The 17254-nt window shown below is 41.1% G+C and overlaps 1 protein-coding gene across 14 annotated transcripts in view, besides 1 other annotated feature; it reads left to right on the forward strand.

The window, feature by feature from the left end:
- Positions 1–42: 42 nt before the first annotated feature.
- Positions 43–17254, forward strand: part of C4orf51 (chromosome 4 open reading frame 51) — a 112298-nt gene continuing 95086 nt past the window's right edge. For all 14 annotated transcript variants that reach the window (XM_047416079.1, XM_047416083.1, XM_047416086.1 and 11 more), the window contains exons 1-2: positions 43–333; positions 16456–16529. In XM_047416079.1, the coding sequence (XP_047272035.1) occupies positions 101–333; positions 16456–16529 (307 nt within the window). In that variant the 5' untranslated portion in view covers positions 43–100. The remainder of the gene's footprint in view (positions 334–16455; positions 16530–17254) is intronic.
- Positions 6808–7362: an enhancer, noted in NCBI's record as "OCT4-NANOG hESC enhancer chr4:146608063-146608617 (GRCh37/hg19 assembly coordinates)". NCBI's record gives its function as "activates a minimal SCP1, AML or CMV promoter by ChIP-STARR-seq in naive H9 embryonic stem cells {active_cell/tissue: H9 hESC(naive)}" and the evidence as "EXISTENCE:reporter gene assay evidence [ECO:0000049][PMID:30033119]".

Here is a 17254-nt window from a genome sequence, read left to right on the forward strand (position 1 = left end):
TGGTGAGCCCAGTCAATTGCTTCCTGCTACTAGAAGGAAATTAATTCTTCATTATGCAGAGGACTTGACAAGTTGTTTTCCAGAGAGGCCGTTCGTAGTTATGTCACACTACTTCTACTTGACTCCACAAATTCTTCTGCCCTTTAGCCCTCTTACTTCTCAAGAGTTTGATCTGATCAGACGCAAGGCTGGAGCATCTTGGCAGGATGAAACACGATGGTCAGATTCTTCCGTGACAACATACACAGGCAGTTACCGGAAAAAACAACTGGACAAGTCCATGTGCAGCCAATTTTCTTTTAGAGCAGGACAGCATGAGCCTGAGTGTAAACAGTAAGATTTCTTTGTAATTTGCACCTGGATATATCACTATAAATAGACAAGAGTGCTCTTAGAAGAAAGAGGTATTGTAGACCCTGAGAGACTTCATAGACTTTAACCCTCTGTATTTTCTTTTGTAAATGTCAGCAGGAAGAAGAGCTAAATGTCAGTGACCAGCTGAAATTATGATCCTATTCTCTATTTAGTATTCCTAAAATTACATATAACTACCTAGTCCTGAAAGGATATGGATATGAATATTTGACTAAATTTTGGGTATTTGGGGTTCTCTTTTCAGCAAAAAGGTGCTCCTGAGAATTTCATTTTGTTTCTTGTTTGGTTTTCTGGCTTTCAGGAGCTTAAAACTTCCTTCAGAGGAGGAAGAAATTCATGAAATCCTTCCCTACTCCCTACCTGTGGTTATTGCATTTTCTGAGTGTTTTCTGTAAGCCAGGCCCTGTGATAAGCCCATAATCAAAAAAATTAACTTCAGTTTATAAAGTGACTGGAACTAGGGAAATAAGTAATCAGCACAAAGTAAGGAGATTTTGTGGGTGTCTGGTGAGGGAGGGAGTGTTGTGTGTCTGAAGAGAGCTCAGTAAAATAGGTTTCCTCCAAGCTGGTTTGAAAGGCAGGCGAGGTGGGGAATGGAAAAGCACACTGCATGGAGAAAGAACCATTTAGCCCCAAGCACTGTCAAGGAGCTGCAAGGAGCTAAGTACATTTGAGAAAGTATAAGTGGGGATGTGGAAAAATGTCAGGACTTGTTATGAAATCTATCCATCTGTATATATTAATTGGTAAATATTTTATCCAAATTCTTGGAACATATTTGATAATCAGTTGAATTATTAACCTCAACTTCAGATAAGAGCAATAACCCACATAATACCCTGATAAATATTAGTTATATTTCCATCCAGACCTTTCCAAATCATCAAAACAAGTACTTAAAGATAAAATGTCTCAGAAGTACTTCTCAATTGGGTGCCTTATCTGGTTTAGTCCAACAAAGTATAATTTCTGCATTTTTAAAATAACTCTCAAGTATATTGACACTTAATTAGCTTTGGACATCCCTTTGCTACTTTTTCTGTGATACTTGAGGTTCATCTTGGCCAGGTAGTGAAGTTGTCTTAGTCCATTTTCTGCTTCTATAACACAATACCACAGACTGGGTAACTTATAAATAATAGAAGTTTATTTGGCTCAGGGTTATTGGAGAATGAGTAGTCCAAGAACATGGTGCCAGCATCTGGTGAGGCTCATCTTATTGCAGAGGGTGAAAGGTGGAAGAGAGCACTTATGATAGAGAGAGATACCAGAAACTGAACTTGCTTTATAAACAGCCTCCTCTTGAGATAACTAACCTGCTCATATGATTAATCTATTTGTGGAGGTTCCACACTTATGACCTAGTCACCTCTTATTAGTCCTTACCTCCCAAAACTATTGCATTGGGGATTAAATTTCTAACACATGAACTTTTGAGTGACACACTCAAACCATAACAGGAGTCTTTAAGCACTGCTGAGGTCCTGTCTGAAAATAGTGTTTGAAAGAAAGATGGTATCCAAACAGATCCATTTACCAGAGTAGGAAAAAAGGTACTATATTTAATAACTCTGAAAAAAATGCAGGAATAGGACATCTGGTGAAAATGTATAGGACCTGGAATTTTTTCCTATTCAGAGAGTGATCATTATGTGAATCATTCCAACCAAGGCGGCCTGTGACATTGCAAAACACAAAAGAGCATGAGCTTGTGAGGTTCATCTGTTTTTGGAACCTCAGAAATGTAAATATATTCTTTGCACAATTATTTCTTATTCTATTAGAAGCTAAGAAGAAGCAAGTGTTATAAATGAAGATGAAGCACAAATTGAGCTCATTTTGAAAGTACTGATTATATTCTAAATTTGCTTTGTTTTTAATCTTTTTCATGGCTAATTTTAGCCCCAAGGACAAATGTCTTTTTAAGTTCTGAGCAAAAGCTATTTGATTAAAATTCCATAAGGCTATAGAGAGACATTTTACATTGCTATAAAGTCAGAATGGTCCAAGGAGAATTACTGGGACAAAACATAAAATGACTGATCATTTAAAGTGGGTTAAGTCAGGAAAGTACTAAAATACACAAAACATTATACATTACACTTTTTATTCATCTTATTTATTTACCACATACATTGAATATTCATATTGTGTGAGATAGAAGAAACTTGGTAAAAGTCTTGATCATTTGGTTCTGAACCAGTTTTAACCGCAGATATGTAAATTTATAAACGTAATCAAAAGGATTCCGAATTTGGAGAATGAAATTAGTGTGATACAGACCTTAAGCTATTATGAAATATTGGTGTCAATCCCAGTTGTCTGCCATGGTTAAAATAAGGGAAGGGTCACATTTTGGAATTCCTAAGACAGGAACGTGGCTCAAGTATAAATTATTAAGTCTTGATTCTTTCTGTATTCAAGACAAGGAATGAAATGGCATACAAATTGGGAACAAATAAAACTGTCTTTGTTTGCAGATGACATTATCATCTACATAGAAAATCTGAAAGAATCAGCAAAAATAAAAAAATTTTAAAAAAAAATCCCGGAACTAATAAGCTATTATAGCAAGATTGCAGAATACAAGGTTAATATACAAAAATCAATTATTTTCCTATATATGAGCAATAAGCAAGTGGAATTTTAAATAAAAAACATAATACCATATACACTAGCATCTCCCAAAATTAAACACTTAGGTATAAATCTAACAAAATATGTACAAGGTCTATATAAGGAAAACTAAAAAATTCTGATGAAAGAAATCAAAAAAGAACTAATCAAATGGAGAGATTTTTCCATGTCCATGGATAGGAAGACTGAACATTATCAAGATGTCAGCCCTTCCCAAATTTGTCTATAGATTAAATGCAGTTGCAATCAAAATCCAACAGGTTAGTTTCTGAATATCAACAAACTAATTCTAAAGTTTATATGGAGAGGCAAAAGACCAAGAATAACCAACACGATATTGAAGAAGAACATAGAGTTGGAGGACTGACACTACCCAACTTTAATGCTCACTATAAAGCCAAAGTAATCAAGATAGTGTAGTATTGGTGAGAGAACAGATCAATGAAGTAGAATAGAGAGCCCAGAAATAGGTACACATAAATATAGTCGACTGGTCTTTGACAAAGAAGCAAAGGCAATACAATGGAGCAAATATTGTTCTTTTCAACAAATGGTGCTGGAACAACTAGACATCCACATGCCAAAAAATTAACTAAGACACAGACCTTATACCATTCACAAAAATTAACTCAAAATGGATCATAGACCTAAATGTAAAATGCAAAACTATAAAACTCCTAGAAGATAACAGGAGAAACCTTAAATGACTTTGGGTATGGCAATGGCAATGATATTTTAGATACAACACCAAAGGTATGATCCATCAAAGAAATAATGGATAAGCTGAATTTCATTAAAATTAAAAATATCTGTTCTGAGTAAGACAACGTCAAGAGAATGAGAAGACAAACCACAGACTGGAAGGAAATATTTGCAAAGGACTTTTATCCAAAATAACAAACATTTGAAAAAGATTTGTTTGAAAAAGAAACAAATTTGAAAAAGAACTGTTATCGAAAATATACAAAGAACTCTTAAAATTAAATTAACAAACAATCCAATTAAAAATGGGCCAAAGACTTTAAAAAATACCTCACCAAAGGGATACACAGTTGGCAAATAAGCATGTAAAAAGATGTCCCACTGGCCGGGCACGGTGGCTCACACCTGTAATCCCAGCACTTTGGGAGGTCAAGGCAGGCAGATCATGAGGTCAGGAGATCGAGACCAACCTGGCTAACATGGTGAAACCCCGTCTCTACTAAAAATACAAAAAATTAGCCAGGCTTGGTGGCGGGTGCCTGTAGTCCCAGCTACTCAGGAGGCTGAGGCAGGAGAATGGCGTGAACCCAGGAGGCGGAGCTTGCAGTGAGCCAAGATCATGCCACTGCACTCCAGCCTGGGTGACAGAGCGAGACTCTGTCTCAAACAAAAAATAAAAAAGATGTCCCACTACAACATATGTCATCAGGGAAATACAAATTAAAATAATGAGATAACATTACGCACCTATCAAGGTGAACCCCTAAGGTAAACTATGGGCTTGGGCTGATAATTGATGTGTCTGTGTAGGTTCATCAGTTGTAACAAATGTACCACTGTGGTGGGGGATGTTGATAGTGGGGAGGCTATGAATTTGAAGGGACAGGAGGTTTATGGGAAATCTCTGTATGTTCATCTTAATTTTGCTGTGACTGAAAAACTGCTCTTAGAAAAAAAGTCTTTAAAAATTGAGGCAGGGGAAGCTGGGGAATGGAGAGGAAGGCTGGCTTTAAATGGGATGGTCAGAAGGCAGGAAGTACTATTAGGGTTAAGGAGAGACATTTTCTAACAACCAAATAGGAGGATATAGCAATCTCAAATTTGTCTGCATCTAGTAACATAGTCTCTAAGCTTATTAGGTAAAACTGAAAGAGCCAAAAGGAGAAATAAGTAAATACACAATCATAGTTGAACATTTTAACATACCTCTGTCAGTAACTGATGGAAAAAAGCAAATAATAAAGGCAAACCAAGTTTGAACAACTTAAGATACTTGTCCTAATTGACATAGCTATAGTATTGAACCTATCAACCACAGAATATACATTCTGTGGTTGACCATTGTGTCAAGTTCTACAGAAACACCTATTGGAACTGTATAAAATCTATAAATCAATTTGGTAAGAACTGACATTTTTACAATATCCTTGTATTCGTCCATTTTCACACTGCTGTAAAGACCATATTTTAGGCCATTAAAAAGCAACAATTTTCAAATAATTCAAATAATACAGAGTATGTTTTCTGACTGTAGTAGGACAAGCCACAGACAAAATTCCTCAGACAGCGAGTTAAAGAAGGAAGGGGTTTATTCGGCTAGGGGCATCGGCAAGACTCCTGTCTCAAGAGCTGAGCTCCCTCAGTGAGCAATTCCTGTCCCTTTTAAGGGCTCACAACTCTAAGGGGGTGTGTGTGAGAGGGTCGTGCTCAATTGAGCAAGCAGCGGGTAACGTGACTGGGGGCTGCATGCACTGGTAATTAGATCGGAACAAAACAGAATAGGGATTTTCACAGTGCTTTTCTATACAATGTCTGTAATCTATAGTTAACATAACCGATTAGGTCAGTGGTCGATCTTTAACTACCAGGCCCAGGGTGTGGCGGCGGGCCGTCTGCTTGTGGATTTCATTTCTGCCTTTTAGTTTTTACTTTTTCTTTCTTTGGAGGCAGAAATTGGGCATAAGACAATATGAGGGGTGGTCTCCTCCCTTATGACAAGTGTTAGTAAGCTGGAAATCAATGACAAAAACAAAACTAGAAAATGTCTAAATATATAGAAATTTAACAGTACACTCATATAACCCATGAGTAAAAATTAAATCACAATGAAAATTAGAAAACAATCTTTGAATTGAATAATACATAAAGTATGATAAATAAAAGACTTGTGAAAGCCATAGCCAAAAGGTGAAAACAACCCAAATATACATCAATAAAGAAATAAACAAAATGTGGTACATACATACAATGGAATATTATTCGGCCTTAAAAAGGAATGCAATTCTGACACATGCTACAACATGGATGCACCTTGAAAGCTTTATGCTAAGTGAATAAAGTCAGACATAAAAAGACAAATTTTGTGTGACGTACCTAGGCTAGGCAAATCATACAGACAAAAAGTAGAATACATGTTACCAGAGGCTAGGAAGAGGGGGAAATGGGGAGTTATTGTTTAATGAATATAGAGTTTTTGTTTGGGTTGACTAAAAAGTTCTAGAGATGGATAGTAGTAATCATTGCACAACATTGTGAATGTTCTTACTTTCACTGAATGTACACTTAAAAATAACTAAAATGATAAATTTTCTCTTGTGTGTATTTTACAATAATCATAATAATAATGAAAACTTGTGAAGGACAGAACTTGTAGAATGCAGAGAGGGGCTCCCTGTATATCCATCCCTCTGTATATAACTGTATATACAGAGGGATGTACATTCTGTATATTCACTGCTTGCACAAATTGTCAAAGTCAACTTTTTCAAAACTCTGAAAATTAACCAAAGGTTTACAACAATCTGAGGAGTGTATATTCAAGGAAAACTAAAAAACCCTGGAAACAACAGTGAGGTTTGCACATTGTAACTTGATCACTCCCACCCCCTTGATAGTCCTTGAGAGCAATGCTGGTTACTACATTTGTTTGATCATGAAAATGATAAGTTCTTTTTAAAAATAAAAGTTCTCAAGTCACTCTCCTTAGAAATTATCATAATGAAGCACTGATTAATGTATGTTTAATAAGTGCTCCAGATGGATCTTATATGATCAGAAAACAATGGGAAATGCTGTTTGGAAGAGGGTGAAAAATCTATTCTTGCCACATGGCAGCCTGACACCAAACTTGATGTCACTTAAGGGGATTCTGAGGAGTCACCCTTTCAGAAGACATTGGATCTTGTGGGGGGGGCGGTTTCCTTCTACCCCTTTGAAAGAAAAATAAATCTTGGGGCCCCCAAATCACTAAGCTAAAGGGAAATGTCAAGCTGGTAGCTGCTTAGGGCCACCCTGCCTCCCATTCTATTCAAAGTCACACCTCTGCTCAATGAGATAGATGCATATCTGATTGCCTCCTTTGGAAAGGCTAATCAGAAACTCAAAAGAATGCAACTCTTCATCTCTTACCTATCTGTGACCTGGAAGTTCCCTCCCCTCTTTGAGTCTTCCTGCCTTTGCTTCAAGTTGTCCTGCCTTTCCAGACCGAACCAATGTACTTCTTATATATATTGATTGATGTCTCATGTTTTCCTAAAATGTATAAAACTAAGCTGTGCCCTGACCACCTTGGGCACATGTCCTCAGGACTTCCTGAGGCTGTGTCATAGGCACACATCCTTAACCTTGGCAAAATAAACTTTCTAAATTAACTGAGACATGTCTCAAATTTTCAGGGTTCACATCTCCTTTTCACTAGAGGACAAAATTTACTTTTCTGTGTCAGTCTTGGACTCCTTCAATTGACCTCATTGTTGCTTAGGGGGAACACAAACCCAGAAAAGAGAAAAAGTTGTGATAACTGTAACTGAGCCTTTCAGAATAGTCCAAAATTGTTTGAAAAGCAATGATTTTCCTTTCTGAATTGGCAGTTACAGAAACAAACTCTGGAGTGAAAAAGCAGCAGCATGTCAGGTTATGCTTCTCAAATGGAGTAGCACTGTGCCAGGGCTCATGGAAAGCCACAGGACAAATAGGGAGCACTTGTTTGTTATAGCAGCAATACAAAAGTAATACAGGTGGGAGGGAGAGCAGAAACATTTTTAAGTAAAGAAAAAGCACACATGATTTTTATAATAAAGGAAAACATCGCATGATATAAACTTTTAATAAATATCTAAATTAAAAGAGGAAATTAAAAAGTTAGTGCTTACCAGTAACAGTTGAAAATGATGTAAAAAATGCCACATACCAGCCTGGGCAACATAGTGAGACTTCATCTCTGCAAAAATCAAAAAAATAGCCAGGTGGTGGTATATGCCTGTGGTTCCAGCTACTCGGGAGGCTGAGGTGGGAAGATTACTTAAGCCTGGGAGATGGAGGCTGAGGTGAGCCATGATTGTACCACTGCACTCCAGCCTGGGTGACAGAGTGAGATCCTACCTTAAAAAAAAAAAAAAAAAAAAGCACCTACAACATGGCTAAAATAGGTCACATCTCTGCAAAGAAATGTAATCAAAGATGTGCAAGATCTCCACTCAGAAAACCAGAAGACATTAGAGAAAATAGAGGCAATCTAAAAGGAGATACAAACCATGTTCATGAATTGAAAGATGATAGATGTGGTTTGGCTTTGTGTCCCACCCAAATCTCATATCCAATTGTAATTTTCACATGTCAAGGGAAGGTCCTGGTAGGAGGTGATTGGATCATGGGGGCAGTTCCCCCATGCTGCTTTTGTGATAGTGAAAGTGTTCTCCTGATATCTGATAGTTTAAAAGTGGTAGTTTCCCCAGCATGCTCTATCTCTCCTGCCACCATTTAAGATGTGCCTTGCTTCCCCTTTGTCTTCTGCCATGATTGTAAGTTTCCTGAGGCCTCTCCAGCCATGTGGAACTGTGAGTCAATTAAACCTCTTTTGTTTATAAATTACCCAGTCTCAGGTAGTATCTTTATAGCAGTGTGAAAATGGACTAATACAAGGATATTGTAAAAATGTCAGTTCTTCCCAAATTGATTTATAGATTTTATACAGTTCCAATAGGTGTTTTTGTAGAACTTGACACAATGATTCTAAAATTTATGTGGAACTACAAAGAGCCAGGCAATAGCTGAGACACTCTCAAAATAAATAAACAAACAAACAAACAACAACAACAAAAAGGTGAGGTCTTGTTCTACCAACAACAAACATATTATAAAGCTTCAGTAATTAAGGCAGGGTGCTTTTATGAAACAAGAATAAACAAAGACCAGTGGAGCAGAATAAAGAGCCAGAAACAGACCCATGCATATACAAGTACTTGATTCATAAAAAAAGACAGCAGAGTAGCAAAGAAAGGCGGTTTTCAATTCCAAATAAATTAATTCAGATGAATTAAATAACAAAGTGTAAAAGGCAAATCAATGAAACCATTAGATGACAATATGGAGAATATCTTGATGATTTCAAGGTTGGCAAAGATTTCTTAAACAAAACACAGAAAACACTAACCAGAAGGAAAAAGTTAGATAAATTTTGAGTTACCTTAAAATTAAGTAGTTCTATTCAACTAAATACAATATTAAGGGCATATAAAAAGGCAAGCCACAGAGAAGAATATATTTTCAACTTAGTGACTGACAAAAGGCTTGCATCTATGAGACATATATGTATCTATATACATATATGTGTATATATATGAATTTGTAAAAACTCTTACAAATTAATACCAAAAAAACACAACTCACTAGAAAAATAGGAAAGAGACTTCAAAATTAAATCAATAAACCAAGATATCCAAATAACCGATAAACATACCAAAGGTGCTCAACCACGTTAGGAATCATAAAATGCAAATTAAAACCACAAAGAGCTTATGCTAAACACCCTCCAGAAAAGTTAAAATTTAAAAGACTATTAATATTAAGTGTCAACATAGACCAATGGCACAGAATAAAGAACCCAGAAATTAAGCCACACACCTACAGCCAACAGATCTTTGAAAAAGTCAACAAAAATAAAAAAGGAGAAAGGACATACTATTCATTAAATGGTGCTGGGAAAACTGGCTAACCATATGCAGAAGAAGAAAGCTGGACCCCTACCTTTCACCATATAAAAAAAATTAACTCAAGATGGATTAAAGACTTAAATGTAAGACTTCAAACTATAAAAATCCTAGAAGAGGCTGGGCGCGGTGGCTCACACCTGTAATCCCAGCACTTTGGGAGGCCTAGGTGGGCGGATTACCTGAGGTCAGGAGTTCAAGACCAGCCTTGCTAACATGGTGAAACCCCATTTCTACTAAAAACACAAAAAAATTGGCTGGGCGTGGTAACAGGCACCTGTAATCCCAGCTACTCGGGAGGCTGAGGCAGGAGAATCACTTGAACCCGGGAGGCGGAGGTTGCAGTGAGCTGAGATTGCACCATCACACTCCAGCTTGGGCAACAAGAGCAAACCTCCGTAAAAAAAATAAATAAAATAGGCTGGGCGCGGTGGCTAACGTCTGTAATCCCAGCACTTTGCAAGGCTAAGGCAGGTGGATCACGAGGTCAGGAGATCAAGACCATCCTGGCTAACATGGTGAAACCTCGTCTCTACTAAAAATACAAAAAATTAGCTGGGCATGGTTGCAGGCACCTGTAGTCCCAGCTACTCGGGAGGCTGAGGCAGGAGAATGGCGTGAACCCGGGAGGCAGAGCTTGCAGTGAGCGAGATGGCGCCACTGCACTCCAGCCTGGGCGACAGAGTGAGACTCCATCTCAAAATAATAATAATAATAATAATCCTAGAAGAAAACACCTAGGTAACACTCTTCTGGACATTGCCATAGGCGAAGAATTCATGGCTAAGTCCTCAAAAGCAAACACAACAAAAACAAAAACTGACAATTGGGACCTCATTAAACCACAGAGCTTCTGCATAGCCGAAGAAACTATCAACAGAGTAAAGAGACAACCCACAGAATGAGAGAAAATATTTTTAATCTATGCATCCAACAAAGGACTACTATCCAGAATCCACAAGGAACTTAAATCAACAAGCAAAAACCAACAAACCCATCAAAAAGTGCACAAAGGGCCAGGTGTGGTGGCTCATGACTGTAATCCCAGTATTTTGAAAGGCCGAGGCAGGAAGAGGACTGTTTGTCCCAGGAATCTGAGACCAGCTTGGGAACATAGGGAAACCCCATCTCCCCGCTCCCACCCCCCACAAAAAAAGAATTAGCCAGATGTGGGGGCATGTGTCTGTGGTCCCAGCTACTCAGGAGGCTGAGGTGGGAGTATTGGTTGAGCCTGGTAGGTCGAGGCTATAGTGAGCTATGATCATGCCACTGCACTCCAGCCTGGGTGACAGAGTGAGACCTTGTCTCAAAAAAAAAATTGCACAAAGGACATGAATAGACACTTCTCAAGAGAAAACACAACAAGTGGCCAACAAACATGAAGAAAATGCTCAGCATCACTGATCATCAGAGGAATGCAAACAAAAACCACAATGAGATACCATCTCACACTAATCAGAATGGCTACTAATAAAAAGTCAAAAAATAACAGATATTGATGAGGTTGAAGAGAAAAGGGAACATTTATACACTGTTGGTGGGAATGTAAATTAGTTCAGCTCCTGTGGAAAGTAGTTTGGAGATTTCTCAAAGAACTAAATATAGAACTGCCATTGACCCAGCAATCTTATTACTGGGTATATATCCGAAGGAAAGTAAATCATTTCACCAAAAAGACACATGTGCTCATATGTTCATTGCAGCACTATTCACCATAGCAAAGACATGGAATCAACTTAGGTGCTGATTAGTGGTGGATTGGATAAAGAAAATGTGGCATGTATACACCATGGAATACTACACAGCCACGAAAAAGAATGAAATAATGTCCTTTGTAGCAACATGGATGCAGCTGTTAAGTGAATTAATGCAGAAACAGAAAATCAAACACAGCATGTTCTCACTTATAAGTGGGAGCTAAACAGTGGGTACACATGGACATAAAAATGGAACAGTAGACACTGAGGGCAGAGAGGGAAGGGAGCAAGGGTTGAATAACTACCTATTGGGTACTAAGTTCACTGTTTGGGTGACAGGTTCAATATAAGCCTAAACTTCGGCATCACACAATATATTCATGTAACATACCTGCACATGTACCCCTTGAGTCTAAAAAAAAAGCCTACTAAATGTTGGTAAGGATGCCTAACAATAAGATCTCTGATATACAGCTGATAGGAATGTAAGTTGATATTGCTCTTTAGAAAAAGTTTGGTTTTACTTTCTACAGTTGATTCTATGGATATTGTAGACCTAGCAATTCTACTCCAAGTGAAATGCACTTTCACATGTACGTGGAGAGACACGTACAATAATGTTCTTAGCAGTACTTTTCATAATAGCCAAAAAAACTAAAAGAAGCAAAATGTAGAATAAGTACTATTCATTGACAGAAGAGTCAACAGTAGTGTGGTCATACAATGGAATGCTGCATGGTAATGAATAAGAAAAAACTATGGTTCCACTCAGTAATCTCACAAACATAATGTTGGGCATTTTGAACCAGGTGACATGCTGTATAATTCTGTTTATATAAAATTCAAAAAAACCAGCCCAAACCAAACTATAGTGTTTAGTGACAAAATGTATTAAGAGAAGCAAAGTAGTGGTTCCTGTAGAAGTCAGGAAATTGGCCCAGTGACCACCTGTATCAGACCATCTGCCCCAAATCTACTGAAGAATAATTACTGGGGATTGAGCTAAAAAACCTGCACTTTTAAATTCATACGCCCAGGTGATTCAACTGCTGCTGTCATTAGGAGAAGAAAGATGCAGGGTAGGCCACCAGCCCTTGTCTCAGGAATAATTAGGGCTAGTTTGTGTGCTGAATACATGTATAGGAATATTTTAGGGCTCGTTAGGCTGATATCAATTCCACTCTACCCCTGCCTCACAGAGTTACAGGTTCCTGAAGTGTGAGGACCCTCCTCCCTCAATCAGAGGCCCTAAAATAATTACTACCATGTGTTGAACTCTAGAAATTGATGACTTTGTTCATTCCATACAAAATAACCTGCACTTCCCACCCAGTCCCTGCTTGCTTAGAGTATCATATTTGGATTCAAGGAAACTGGGATACAGATGTGTTTCAAAGGATACACACTGCATCTGTGAGTCCCCAAGTTACTCCGCTGATATTAAGTTTTTAGTTTTTTTTTTTTTTTTTTTTTTTTTTGTAAGTCCCATCAGGTGAAATGAACAATTTTTCACCTGTTTTTTTTTTTTTTTTTATTAAATTTATTTTTTTATTGATAATTCTTGGGTGTTTCTCACAGAGGGGTATTTGGCAGGGTCATGGGACAATAGTGGAGGGAAGGTCAGCAGATAAACAAGTGAACAAAGGTCTCTGGTTTTCCTAGGCAGAGGACCCTGCGGCCTTCCGCAGTGTTTGTGTCCCTGATTACTTGAGATTAGGGATTGGTGATGACTCTTAACGAGCATGCTGCCTTCAAGCATCTGTTTAACAAAGCCCATCTTGCACCGCCCTTAATCCATTTAACCCTGAGTGGACACAGCACATGTTTCAGAGAGCACAGGGTTGGGGGTAAGGTCACAGATCAACAGGATCCCAAGGCAGAGGAATTTTTCTTAGTGTAGAACAAAATGAAAAGTCTCCCATGTCTACTTCCTTCCACACAGACACGGCAACCATCCGATTTCTCAATCTTTTCCCCACCTTTCCCGCCCTTCCATTCCACAAAGCCGCCATTGTCATCCTGGCCCGTTCTCAATGAGCTGTTGGGTACACCTCCCAGATGGGGTGGTGGCCGGGCAGAGGGGCTCCTCACTTCCCAGTAGGGGCGGCCGGGCAGAGGCGCCCCTCACCTCCCGGACGGGGCGGCTGGCCGGGCAGGGGGGCTGACCCCCCCCACCTCCCTCCCGGAGGGGGCGGCTGGCCGGACGGGGGGCTGACCCCCCCACCTCCCTCCCGGACGGGGCGGCTGGCCGGGCAGAGGGGCTCCTCACTTCCCAGTAGGGGCGGCCGGGCAGAGGCGCCCCTCACCTCCCGGACGGGGCGGCTGGCCGGGCGGGGGGGCTGACCCCCCCCACCTCCCTCCCGGACGGGGTGGCTGCCGGGCGGAGACGCTCCTCACTTCCCAGATGGGGTGGCTGCCGGGCGGAGACGCTCCTCACTTCCCAGATGGGGTGGCTGCCGGGCGGAGAGGCTCCTCACCTCTCAGACGGGGCAGCTGCCGGGCGGAGGGGCTCCTCACTTCTCAGACGGGGCGGCCGGGCAGAGACGCTCCTCACCTCCCAGACGGGGTCTCGGCCGGGCAGAGGCGCTCCTCACATCCCAGATGGGGCGGCGGGGCAGAGGCGCTCCCCACATCTCAGACGATCTCCTCCTCACATCCCAGACGATGTGCGGCCGGGCAGAGACGCTCCTCACTTCCTAGATGTGATGGCGGCTGGGAAGAGGCGCTCCTCACTTCCTAGATGGGATGGCGGCCAGGCGGAGACGCTCCTCACTTTCCAGACTGGGCAGCCAGGCAGAGGGGCTCCTCACATCCCAGACGATGGGCAGCCAGGCAGAGACACTCCTCACTGCCCCGTCCGGGAGGGAGGTGGGGGGGTCAGCCCTCCACCCGGCCAGCCGCCCCGTCTGGGAGGTGAGGGGCGCCTCTGCCCGGCCGCCCCTTCTGGGAAGTGAGGAGCCCCTCTGCCCGGCCAGCCGCCCCGTCCGGGAGGGAGGTGGGGGGGTCGGCCCCCCGCCCGGCCAGCCGCCCCATCCGGGAGGGAGGTGGGGGGGTCAGCCCCCCCGCCCGGCCAGCCGCCCGTCCGGGAGGGAGGTGGGGGGGTCAGCCCCCCCGCCTGGCCAGCCGCCCCGTCCGGGAGGGAGGTGGGGGGGTCAGCCCTCCGCCCGGCCAGCCGCCCCGTCGGGGAGGTGAGGGGCGCCTCTGCCCGGCCGCCCCTACTGGGAAGTGAGGAGCCCCTCTGCCCGGCCAAGTTTTTAGTTTTTTCAGAAATGAACATAATTACTGTAATCTTTCTTATCCCATTCATAGCACTTATCTTATTTTGAAAACAGCTCCCTAGAGAAACACTCATAAATCCCTTTGAAATAATTATGAACTTAATGTTTGAGCTTTTCATGCACAGAAGTTGAAAATGTTACCCTTTTATGACAAATTAGAGAACAAACAAATCACTAAAGACGATAAGAAAGTCCAACTGTAGTTTATTTAATGGGATTGTGGGATTACAGTTGGGAATATGGAAAGAGTGGAAGAGAACAAACAAGTGTTTAAGAAACCAAATAAAAAGATGAATGATTTATAATCCTCTGAGTAAATACCCAGTAATGGGATCACTGGGCAGAACGGTAGTTCTATTTTTAGCTTTTTGAGGAATTGTCATACTGCTTTCCACAGTGGTTGAACTAATATACCCTCCTACCAACAGTGTAAAAGTGTTCTCTTTTCTCTGCAACCTTGCCAGCATCTGTTATTTTTGACTTTTTAATAATAGCCATTCTGTTTGGTGTGAGATGGTATCCCATTGTAGTTTTAATTTGCATTTCTCTAATGATCAGTGATAATGAGCTTTTTTTGATATGCTTTTTGGCCACATGTCTTCTTTTGAAAAGTGTCTGTTTATGTCCCTTGCCCACTTTTTAATGGGATTGTTTGTTTTTTTTCTTGCAAATTTAAGTCCCTTTAGATGCCAGATATTAGACCTTTGTCAGATGCATAGCCTGCAAATATTTTATCCTCTTCTGTAGGTTGTCTGTTTACTCTGTTGGTTTATCCTCTTCTGTAGGTTGTCTGTTTCTTTGCTGTGCAGAAGCTCTTAAGTTTAACCAGATCCCCTTTGTCAACTTTGGCTTTTGTTGTGATTGCTTTTGGCATCTATGTCATGAAATCTTTCTGGAATATAAATCATTCCACCATAGAGACACATGCATGCAAATGTTCATTGCAGCATTATTCACAATAGCAAAGACCTAGAATCAACCTAAATGACAATCAATGACAGGTTGTAAAAAGAAAATGGGGTACATATACATCATGAAATACTATGCAGTCACAAAAAAGAACAAGATCATATCTTTTGCAGAAACATTGATGGAGCTGGTGGCCATTAACCTTAGCAAACTAATGCAGGAACAGAAAACTAAATACTGCATGTTCTCATTTATACGTGAGAGTTAAATGATGAGAACACATGGACATAAAGAAGGAAACAACATGGCCAGGCGCAGTGGCTCATGCCTGTAATCCCAGCAAGGTGGGCAAATCACGAGGTGAAGAGATTGAGATCATCCAGGCCAACATGGTGAAACCCTGTCTCTACTAAAAATAAAAAAATTAGCTGGGCTTGGTGGTGCGTGCCTGTAGTCCTAGCTACTCAGGAGGCTGAGGCAGGAGAATCACTTGAACCTGGAAAGCGGAGGTTGCAGTGAGCCAAGATCACACCACTGCACTCCAGCCTGGTGACAGAGTGAGTCTCCGTCTCAAAAAAGGAATGGAACAACAGACACTGGGGTCTACTGGATGGTGGAGGGTGGGAGGAGGGAGAGGAGCAGAACAAAATTGCTATCGGGTATTAGATTTAATACCTGGGTGATGAAGTAATCTGTACAACAAACCCCCGTTACACGAGTTTATCTAAATAACAAACCTTCACATGTACTCCCAAACCTAAAATGAAAGTTTTAAAAAAAGATGAATGGAAATCCCTGTAAGTCCACAGGCTTCATGTGATTTATAAATCCATAAATTTGTAACTTGTTTCTTCTACTTGCTTTCCTTAGGATGTCATTGACAAACAGTTCTGCCTGTCATCTTCTCTGCTGGGCTGGTACCCAAGAGACTACAGATATCAAAGGTAAGTGCAACATGATCAGTTTCTGGGCCCAGCCCTTTTGCCAGGGTTGCTGTGTTTCTTTCAGGTTCTTTTTTTTTCTCTCACTTTACTGAGATATGATTGACAAATAAAAATTGTAGGCCGGGCACTGTGGCTCACACCTGTACTCTCAGTACTTCAGGAGGCCAAGGTGGGCGGATCACTTGAGGTCACGAGTTCAAGACCAGGCTGGCCAACATGGTGAAACCCATCTCTACCAAAAATACAAAAACAATATTAGCTGGGTGTGGTGGCGCATACCTGTAATCCCAGCTACTTGGAAGGATGAGGCAGGAGAATTGCTTGAACCCGGGAGGCAGAGGTTGCAGTGAGCCGAGGTGGTGCCATTGCACTACAGCCTGGGTGACAGAGGACTCGGTCTGAAAAAACAAAACAAAACCAACCAACCAACCAAACAAACAAACAAAAACAGACCTACTCTCTTAGCAATTTTTTTTTTTTTTTTTGAGAAAGGGTCTCACTCTGTCACCCAGGCTGGAGTGCAGTGGTGCGATCTTGGCTCGCTGCAAACTTTGCCTCCTGGGTTCAAGCGATTTTCATGCCTCAGCCTCCCAAGTAGCTGGGATTACAGGCACCTGCCACCATGCCCAACTAATTTTTGTGTTTTTAGAAGAGATGGGATTTCACCATGTTGGCCAGGCTGGTCTCAAACTCCTGACCTTGTGATCTGCCCAACTTGGCCTCCC

Source organism: Homo sapiens, chromosome 4 (genome assembly GCF_000001405.40).
Source record: "Homo sapiens chromosome 4, GRCh38.p14 Primary Assembly".
Lineage (NCBI taxonomy): Eukaryota > Metazoa > Chordata > Mammalia > Primates > Hominidae > Homo > Homo sapiens.